The sequence below is a fragment of the Homo sapiens genome, chromosome 16 (assembly GCF_000001405.40).
Source record: "Homo sapiens chromosome 16, GRCh38.p14 Primary Assembly".
Lineage (NCBI taxonomy): Eukaryota > Metazoa > Chordata > Mammalia > Primates > Hominidae > Homo > Homo sapiens.
In genome coordinates, this window is record NC_000016.10 from 54,035,991 (window position 1) to 54,046,523 (window position 10,533).

The 10,533-nt window shown below is 42.0% G+C and overlaps 1 protein-coding gene and 1 long non-coding RNA gene across 16 annotated transcripts in view, besides 1 other annotated feature; both read left to right on the forward strand.

Moving 5' to 3' along the window:
* FTO (FTO alpha-ketoglutarate dependent dioxygenase) overlaps positions 1 to 10,533 on the forward strand; it is a 417,979-nt gene that overhangs the window by 332,028 nt on the left and 75,418 nt on the right. For 2 of the 15 annotated variants that reach the window (XM_047434606.1, NM_001438128.1), the window contains exon 9: positions 3,355 to 4,236. The exons of the other annotated variants lie outside the window; for them this stretch is intronic. In XM_047434606.1, coding sequence (XP_047290562.1) covers positions 3,355 to 3,436 — 82 coding nt within the window. In that variant the 3' untranslated portion in view covers positions 3,437 to 4,236. Of the gene's footprint in view, positions 1 to 3,354; positions 4,237 to 10,533 lie in introns of those variants that run through there. 15 annotated transcript variants of the gene reach the window in all.
* On the forward strand, positions 3,403 to 4,383 carry FTO-IT1 (FTO intronic transcript 1). The gene is made up of 2 exons (NR_103838.1): positions 3,403 to 3,444; positions 3,556 to 4,383. It is a non-coding gene; the product is annotated as an FTO intronic transcript 1 (long non-coding RNA).
* Positions 4,547 to 4,841: a silencer, noted in NCBI's record as "tiled region #2551; K562 Repressive non-DNase unmatched - State 24:Quies". NCBI's record gives its function as "represses a minimal TATA promoter and a strong SV40 promoter by Sharpr-MPRA in K562 cells {active_cell/tissue: K562}" and the evidence as "EXISTENCE:reporter gene assay evidence [ECO:0000049][PMID:27701403]".

Genomic DNA, 10,533 nt, shown 5'->3' on the forward strand with positions numbered 1-10,533 from the left:
AAGCTTTGATTTCAAAATGTAATCGAAATCACATCATTTCATGTGGAACCAATTTCTCCTTGCCTCCTTCCCCTGAGGAGTGAAGGAAATATCTCTGGTATATCGTTAAATACCTGATAGATTAGACCTTCAGATAGGTTGGTGGATTAAGGCAAAGCACAAAAAAAGCTCATGTTTTCAACTGTCTATCCTATTTTAAGGTTCCTATTGGCCCTCAGTATTCTGAATTTACCACATTAGTCCTAATCTAATATTTAGCCCCATAATGTTTTAAACATTTTGACCAGACTCAGTTCCCAGCTTCCATGTTGCCTATCTCTGTTAACATCTCTGCATGCATACGAGGGTGTTCATTACGGCTGGATTGAGGGAAAACCACCAAAAAACCAATTCCCATTTCTTGGGCCTGGGAATCCGGGGCCCTAACAGTGAGCTCAGAATGAATTGAGAGAATCCCTCTGGGTCATAAAGATAGACTGCAGGGTCAAAACTCAAAACCTTGAGGTTCTTTTTGCTTAAAATTCCAAACTCAATCAAAAATGAGTTCATTTCTAAAAATGCTGCAATGCCTTCTCATGGTTTTTCCACACTGTAAAACAGAAGTTAAACTCTAGGGTCAGAAATAGTTAACAAAGAGAGCCTTTGTGCTAAGCAGGAGTCTGTGGATTGAGTTCTGGCTCAGCCAGTATATTTCTGTGTCATTTGGCTTTTTATAAGCTCATTGCCTCAGTTTCTCTTCCATAAATGGAGGCAATAATATTATTGCATTTCTATCTTCTAAAATTACCAAGAGGTATAGATGTGTAGTAATACAGAGGACACTTATGAAGACTGTTAACTGTGAGTCCTTTTTGCTATGTGAGATATACCAGTAAAATAAGGGACATGATTGTTTTGGTAGGCCTCTGTACGGATACAGGATAGCTCATTGAACCCGATCTCAGGAATTATAGATTAGAAAGTTGTCAGTCTTTGATTTCTGCATCTCCCCGTGTGTCCACTTGCTCCCCTCTTTCAGCAAACCAACTGCCACTGTATCTTTGGGCCACGTGACCAAAAAGATGGTTACCAATGGGTTTTGAGTTTTCATGTCTCAGGTCCAACAACCTGGGTAGAGACAGAATCTCTTTAGGATCTCAATTCCAGATTCCCAGGGAGAGAATTCTGATTGTTTCACCCACTTCTGGAACTAACAGCTGTGGCTAGGGAGTTCAGGCCACCCCGAGCGAGCATGGCTGCCTGGAACCTGCTACTTAAATCATATGCATATTGGGGAGGTCAGTTCCCAAAAATGGAGAATGTGGCACACATCCAATGTATTTCCACTGGACCACTCCTTTAAAGAGTAAGTTGAAGTACCCAGAGTTCTTTGTATTCCTCAGAAGAAAGTTGCTTTAAGGAATAAACATAAAACTTTAAAGCAGGAAGGGATTTAAAGTTCACCCAACTCTACCCTCCTTGTCACGTTGATGAAACTAAGGCAAATGAAAGAGATTAGTTTTCCAGAGGTCCTAAAGCTACTTAATAGCATCCAGTGCTCATGCTTTTAGTTAAGAGCATCTAGTGTATCTTTTATTCAGTTTTCTTCTGCCATCTCACAGTTGTGCGTATTTCAGATGTCATTTTTTCCTATTGCCTAGACGTGTTTCAATTATAAGAGATTTATATTTATAGTCTCTCATTTAATAGGTGGTTTAAATTTTATAGACTCTTCTACTTTAGAAAAACATAGATAGTATTTACAAAGACAACATAGAAACATGGAGAAATGCATATGATATACCATTACATGGAAAAAGCAAATGAATGCTTATATATAGTCATTATGTTAAAAAATATGTAAAAATTACGTATGCATATATCAACTAGGCTTGTTAGAATAGTAGTATTACGTGTAACTTTAAATTTTCCTTAACACCATCATTAAATTATTTTAGCAGTTAATTTTAGAAAACATATTTAATACAAATACACCCTACACTACTTCTCATCTTAGAGCTACCTGAACCTGTATACCTAATGTTCTTGTGCAGGAAGGTGAACTTTCTCTAATGTAAGCCATATATATTTTGGGCACAGCTGGAACCTTTATTCCGGCAGTGAACACATTGAAAATGGAGTCCTCATAGCTGTGGCTAAAGCTGCATTAAATTATGATCTTAGTAGAGACTTGGCCCCAGACAGGATGACCCACTAGAGGCAATAATCAGAGGATAAGATGTTTTCAAGCATGAGTAGAGTCAGACTCTAGGAGCTGGGAAGAACCTTACCTCCTGTAACCTGACCCTTGTGGGCTTCAGAACTGGCAGTGGAAGCATAGAACGTTTCCAGTGTTTAGAGGTGGAACTTGGCTAAAGTACAGAGAGAGGACTCTCAGTGAAGTTCCTTCTGCTGCCATAGCAGCTGCATTGTGATTATGCCCAACCTGGAAAGTGCCTCCCCCACCTTCCCAGGAGCCTCACTGTCTACCTCTGATGGCCAAAGCTGGGGAGAAAATCAGTGTCTCAGATACCATCTGCTATGGTTTGGATGTGTGTCCCCTCCAAATTGCATGTTGAAATGTGACCCCCATTGTTGGAGGGAGGCCTAGTGGAGGCTGTTTGGGTCATCTGGGTGGATCCCTCATGAATGGCTTCACACTGTCCTTGCAGTAATGAGTGAGTTCTCACTCTATTAGTTCATGAGAGAGCTTGTTGTTTAAAGAGCCTGGCACCTCTCCCCTCTCTCTCTTGTTCCCTCTTTCGCCATGGGACATGCCTGTACCCTCTTCGCCTTCTGCCATAAGTAAAAGCTTCCTGCGGCCTCATCAGAAGCCAAGTAGATGCTGGTGCCATGTTTGTACAGCCTGTAGAACCATAAGCCAAATTAACCTCTTTTCTTTGTAAACTATCCAGTCTCAGGTATTCCTTTATAACAACACAAAATAAACTAATACATCATCTGACTTTGAATCTGCCCTCATGTAAATACATCTGTTCACATGTAAAGCAAGACAGGGACACAAGAGCAGCCAGCAGGGCTTGTAGGGGCAGGAGCAACCCGAGAGGTGGGCGGCCTCCTGTTAACACTGCTTTCTTTTTCTCCTTGAAAAAGGCAAACTGGGTTTTCAAGGAGAATGAGAATTTCAGGGAAGGGATCAGAGAGAGTGGGCACTACATGTGCCACATCTGTCAGATGTCTTCAAACCATTAACTCCCAGACCCCAGGAAGCTGCTGCTCTTTCTAGCATTTTCTAGAGCATCTAGCAGAGCACTAAGTGGTAGTGGCTTAATGATATAATGTTTTGTGAACTTTGATGAGGAGGGAGATTTTCTCAAGAGCAACTTCAGAGGTGCCTATACTTCTCTGTTTCAGAGTGGATATAGAGGGGTGGAAGAAGGAGGCCAAGATACTTTGCTTTCTGCAAGAAGCTATAGAGATCAAGAAGGAAACATAGGGATGGAGGTAGGATTTCTACCTATGAAGAGTTATCAAGCATTTAAGTCCTATAGGGCCCATGTGGCCCATTCATTCATTGACCAGTTTATTCATCCACTGATGTTTTTCATTCAACAGACTACTACTAAGCATCTTCGACTATGCTAAGTCCTGAGCAGACAGTGAAGAACTAGAAAGACATGGCCCCGCCCTCATGAAGATTACAAGTTAGGCCTATTCTCCACACTTGTTCTAACTCAATCTGCTACATATACCTTGAGTACCCAGTATGCGTTAGGTACTAAAAGGAGCTACAAAGATGAACCAGACACAGTCTTCAAGAACTTCAGGGATCAGGGAAGGTTTATCCTGATTGTAATCCCTCCAGAGGTTTTGATCATTTCTCTAATCACTTATTAGGCCTCTTGCTTCCTGTAGGAATTTGTTCTCTATATTAGATTGAAATCTGCCTGTTCTAATTTCAACTTCCTTTCTTCTGGCCCTGGCTAGTCCTCAGTGTACAGAATTGCCATTGGTACCTGCTGGTCAAGGCCAAGTGTTGTGAGCCAAGGTTTCTAACCTTGGCTGCAGTTACACTTAACTGCTCCTCTCCGAAGCTGGATTTAGCAGAGATTTGATGGAAGCCCTGCAAACCTCGATTCAAATCAAAGTTCAAACCTAGTGACTGGTTGAGTGAACTGCTTTAATAATAACAGTGCAAAAATTGAATTTAAAATAATCCTTTTAGGGATGCAAGATGCAGTGGTTTAGCCTTTTATTAATATTCTTTTCTTTCCACTAATAAAGATTTTAAGTCAACATCTCCTTAAATTTGATTAATTCCATTAGGATCACTCCAAAAAAAGGTTTATCAGTGGCTTTGAAATCCAAATGGGATGAAGAAAAAATCATTTATATGGCAAAATCTCAGTTACACTAACTAGATTAAAGACCTTCTGCTGAATTAAAGAAAAAATCAACACACAGATTATTTGAAACAAATGTAAATATGCAACTTTTAAGCACATAGAGAAATCTACCCTAAAGTTGATGTTTTTTCAAGTTCTCTTGGAGCTTACATTCCAGTGGGAGAAACCCGTGTTAAACAAATACATAGAAGACAATTTCAGATTGTGAGCTAGGAAATCAGGGTAGAGGAATGGGTAATATTAGAGAGATCAGGGAGGCTTCTCTGAGAGGTGACATTTGAGCTGAGATCTGAAAGACCAAGCCACAGTCACATGAAGACATGGAGTTAGCGTTACATGCAAAGCAAACGGTTAAGTGCAAAGTCCCTGAGGCTGGAATGGGCTTAATGTCGTGGAGAAACAGGAAGAGAGTGGAGGAGTGATGCGAGATGAGAATAGTCAGAGAGGAAGGTAGGGCCATAGGAAGAAGTTTTGATTTTTATTCCAAGCACAGAGAATACTTTAGAAAGCTAAACACTGACTTTTAAAAGCCATCAACAAAGGAAAAATATGCCTAAGGTGTGTGTTTTATATGGGACCGAAGAAGAAAATACCGAGGCTTCTCCCCATTTTATTCTTCCACATTGAGTGTACAGCTATTAGTAAAATGAAATATTATTTGCAAAAATGCTTTGAAAATGTTAAAGCACTATTCTCCTTAAATTTAAGAATATTGTCCTGGAAAGATTTAAAATGACTAAGGGTACTATTACTTTATCACAGAAGAATCATGCTGTGTTAGTCCATTCTCACAATGCTGTAAAGATGCTATCTGAGACTGAGTAATTTACAAAGGAAAGAGGTTTAACTGAGTCACAGTTCCTCATGGTGGGGACGCCTCAGGAAACTTACATCATGGTGGAAGGCGAAGGGAAAGCAAGACGGCAGGAGAGGGAGCACAGGGGGAAACCACCACTTTTAAACCATCAGATCTCGTGAGAACTCCCTCATTATCACGAGAACAGCATGGGGGAAACCGCCTCCATGATCCAATCACCTCCCACCACTCCCCTCCCTTGACACCTGGGGATTACAATTCCAGATGAGATTTGGGTGGAGACACAGAGCCAAACCATATCACATGTTAAACTTTAAGCAAACTCTCCCTAGTAGACCCACCTAGCGATTCAAAGAAATACATGGCTATGAGGATTCCGTTGCCATTTTCCTTATCTCATATAGGTCTAAGGAAGGAAGATTTCCACTGTTTAGACCGGAAGACCCTGAGGACAGTATCCTTTCTGGCTGCCCTGCTGTCATATGAGTCCATAGGGGGCAAAGGTGAGGCTTTCCTGGGCTTGTGATTCCCAGGATGTCTCCACTTCTAGGGCCACATTAGCTAAATGGTAATTATGAAAATATCCAGGGCAAGAAGCTAATAAATAAGAACTGACAGGCATTGCATAGTAAAGAATTGTTGTGCACGCTGGCTCTTCTGCAAGACACACGATGGAGGTTGAGAGTGTCTAACAATCCTCCTGAAACGTGCTGCCCGATGTGCTGATGATACAAAAGGAAACCTGCTCGAATAGAAGAGCACGGGAGAAGATTTATGTCCTGCGGATGGCTGTTCCTATTGTCGTGGATCCCTGGGATGTTTCTGAGAGCTTTCTTGTGACCTTCGGTTTCTAAATGTAGAACCTGGCTGTGATCTCTGGGAAAGAGAAAGGAATATGTCCTAGGTTTGTCCAATGGTATCAGGAATAAAGAAGCTAAGATTTGGAGGAGCCAAGATGGCCGAATAGGAACAGCTCCGGTCTACAGCTCCCAGCGTGAGTGACGCAGAAGACGGGTGATTTCTGCATTTCCATCTGAGGTACCGGGTTCATCTCACTAGGGAGTGCCAGACAGTGGGCGCAGGCCAGTGTGTGTGCGCACCGTGCGCGAGCCGAAGCAGGGCGAGGCATTGCCTTACCTGGGAAGCGCAAGGGGTCAGGGAGTTCCCTTTCCGAGTCAAAGAAAGGGGTGACGGACGCACCTGGAAAATCGGGTCACTCCCACCCGAATATTGCGCTTTTCAGACCGGCTTAAGAAACGGCGCACCACGAGACTATATCCCACACCTGGCTCAGAGGGTCCTACGCCCACGGAATCTCGCTGATTGCTAGCACAGCAGTCTGAGATCAAACTGCAAGGCGGCAACGAGGCTGGGGGAGGGGCGCCCGCCATTGCCCAGGCTTGCTTAGGTAAACAAAGCAGCCAGGAAGCTTGAACTGGGTGGAGCCCACCACAGCTCAAGGAGGCCTGCCTGCCTCTGTAGGCTCCACCTCTGGGGGCAGGGCACAGACAAACAAAAAGACAGCAGTAACCTCTGCAGACTTAAGTGTCCCTGTCTGACAGCTTTGAAGAGAGCAGTGGTTCTCCCAGCACGCAGCTGGAGATCTGAGAACGGGCAGACTGCCTCCTCAAGTGGGTCCCTGACCCCTGACCCCCGAGCAGCCTAACTGGGAGGCACCCCCCAGCAGGGGCACACTGACACCTCACATGGCAGGGTATTCCAACAGACCTGCAGCTGAGGGTCCTGTCTGTTACAAGGAAAACTAACAACCAGAAAGGACATCTACACCGAAAACCCATCTGTACATCACCATCATCAAAGACCAAAAGTAGATAAAACCACAAAGATGGGGAAAAAACAGAACAGAAAAACTGGAAACTCTAAAATGCAGAGCGCCTCTCCTCCTCCAAAGGAACGCAGTTCCTCACCAGCAACAGAACAAAGCTGGATGGAGAATGATTTTGAAGAGCTGAGAGAAGAAGGCTTCAGACGATCAAATTACTCTGAGCTACGGGAGGACATTCAAACCAAAGGCAAAGAAGTTGAAAACTTTGAAAAAAATTTAGAAGAATGTATAACTAGAATAACCAATACAGAGAAGTGCTTAAAGGAGCTGATGGAGCTGAAAACCAAGGCTCGAGAACTACGTGAAGAATGCAGAAGCCTCAGGAGCCGATGCGATCAACTGGAAGAAAGGGTATCAGCAATGGAAGATGAAATGAATGAAATGAAGCGAGAAGGGAAGTTTAGAGACAAAAGAATAAAAAGAAATGAGCAAAGCCTCCAAGAAATATGGGACTATGTGAAAAGACCAAATCTACGTCTGATTGGTGTACCTGAAAGTGATGTGGAGAATGGAACCAAGTTGGAAAACACTCTGCAGGATATTATCCAGGAGAACTTCCCCAGTCTAGCAAGGCAGGCCAACGTTCAGATTCAGGAAATACAGAGAACGCCACAAAGATACTCCTCGAGAAGAGCAACTCCAAGACACATAATTGTCAGATTCACCAAAGTTGAAATGAAGGAAAAAATGTTAAGGGCAGCCAGAGAGAAAGGTCGGGTTACCCTCAAAGGAAAGCCCATCAGACTAACAGCGGATCTCTCGGCAGAAACCCTACAAGCCAGAAGAGAGTGGGGGCCAATATTCAACATTCTTAAAGAAAAGAATTTTCAACCCAGAATTTCATATCCAGCCAAACTAAGCTTCATAAGTGAAGGAGAAATAAAATACTTTATAGACAAGCAAATGCTGAGAGATTTTGTCACCACCAGGCCTGCCCTAAAAGAGCTCCTGAAGGAAGCGCTAAACATGGAAAGGAACAACCGGTACCAGCCGCTGCAAAATCATGCCAAAATGTAAAGACCATCGAGACTAGGAAGAAACTGCATCAACTAACGAGCAAAATCACCAGCTAACATCATAATGACAGGATCAAATTCACACATAACAATATTAACTTTAAATATAAATTGACTAAATTCTGCAATTAAAAGACACAGACTGGCAAGTTGGATAAAGAGTCAAGACCCATCAGTGTGCTGTATTCAGGAAACCCATCTCACGTGTAGAGACACACATAGGCTCAAAATAAAAGGATGGAGGAAGATCTACCAAGCCAATGGAAAACAAAAAAAGGCAGGGGTTGCAATCCTAGTCTCTGATAAAACAGACTTTAAACCAACAAAGATCAAAAGAGACAAAGAAGGCCATTACATAATGGTAAAGGGATCAATTCAACAAGAGGAGCTAACTATCCTAAATATTTATGCACCCAATACAGGAGCACCCAGATTCATAAAGCAAGTCCTGAGTGACCTACAAAGAGACTTAGACTCCCACACATTAATAATGGGAGACTTTAACACCCCACTGTCAACATTAGACAGATCAACGAGACAGAAAGTCAACAAGGATACCCAGGAATTGAAATCAGCTCTGCACCAAGCAGACCTAATAGACATCTACAGAACTCTCCACCCCAAATCAACAGAATATACATTTTTTTCAGCACCACACCACACCTATTCCAAAATTGACCACATAGTTGGAAGTAAAGCTCTCCTCAGCAAACGTAAAAGAACAGAAATTATAACAAACTATCTCTCAGACCACAGTGCAATCAAACTAGAACTCAGGATTAAGAATCTCACTCAAAGCCGCTCAACTACATGGAAACTGAACAACCTGCTCCTGAATGACTACCGGGTACATAACGAAATGAAGGCAGAAATAAAGATGTTCTTTGAAACCAACGAGAACAAAGACACCACATAACAGAATCTCTGGGACGCATTCAAAGCAGTGTGTAGAGGGAAATTTATAGCACCAAATGCCTACAGGAGAAAGCAGGAAAGATCCAAAATTGACACCCTAACATCACAATTAAAAGAACTAGAAAAGCAAGAGCAAACACATTCAAAAGCTAGCAGAAGGCAAGAAATAACTAAAATCAGAGCAGAACTGAAGGAAATAGAGACACAAAAAACCCTTCAAAAAATCAATGAATCCAGGAGCTGGTTTTTTGAAAGGATCAACAAAATTGATAGACCGCTAGCAAGACTAATAAAGAAAAAAAGAGAGAAGAATCAAATAGACACAATAAAAAATGATAAAGGGGATATCACCACTGATCCCACAGAAATACAAACTACCATCAGAGAATACTACAAACACCTCTACGCAAATAAACTAGAAAATCTAGAAGAAATGGATACATTCCTCGACACATACACTCTCCCAAGACTAAACCAGGAAGAAGTTGAATCTCTGAATAGACCAATAACAGGCTCTGAAATTGTGGCAATAATCAATAGTTTACCAACCAAAAAGAGTCCAGGACCAGATGGATTCACAGCCGAATTCTACCAGAGGTACAAGGAGGAACTGGTACCATTCCTTCTGAAACTATTCCAATCAATAGAAAAAGAGGGAATCCTCCCTAACTCATTTTATGAGGCCAGCATCATTCTGATACCAAAGCCGGGCAGAGACACAACCAAAAAAGAGAATTTTAGACCAATATCCTTGATGAACATTGATGCAAAAATCCTCAATAAAATACTGGCAAACCGAATCCAGCAGCACATCAAAAAGCTTATCCACCATGATCAAGTGGGCTTCATCCCTGGGATGCAAGGCTGGTTCAATATACGCAAATCAATAAATGTAATCCAGCATATAAACAGAGCCAAAGACAAAAACCACATGATTATCTCAATAGATGCAGAAAAAGCCTTTGACAAAATTCAACAACCCTTCATGCTAAAAACTCTCAATAAATTAGGTATTGATGGGAAGTATTTCAAAATAATAAGAGCTATCTATGACAAACCCACAGCCAATATCATACTGAATGGGCAAAAACTGGAAGCATTCCCTTTGAAAACTGGCACAAGACAGGGATGCCCTCTCTCACCGCTCCTATTCAACATAGTGTTGGAAGTTCTGGCCAGGGCAATCAAGCAGGAGAAGGAAATAAAGGGTATTCAGTTAGGAAAAGAGGAAGTCAAATTGTCCGTGTTTGCAGACGACATGATTGTTTATCTAGAAAACCCCATCGTCTCAGCCCAAAATCTCCTTAAGCTGATAAGCAACTTCAGCAAAGTCTCAGGATACAAAATCAATGTACAAAAATCACAAGCATTCTTATACACCAACAACCGACAAACAGAGAGCCAAATCATGAGTGAACTCCCATTCACAATTGCTTCAAAGAGAATAAAATACCTAGGAATCCAACTTACAAGGGATGTGAAGGACCTCTTCAAGGAGAACTACAAACCACTGCTCAAGGAAATAAAAGAGGACACAAACAAATGGAAGAACATTCCATGCTCATGGGTAGGAAGAATCAATATCGTGAAAAT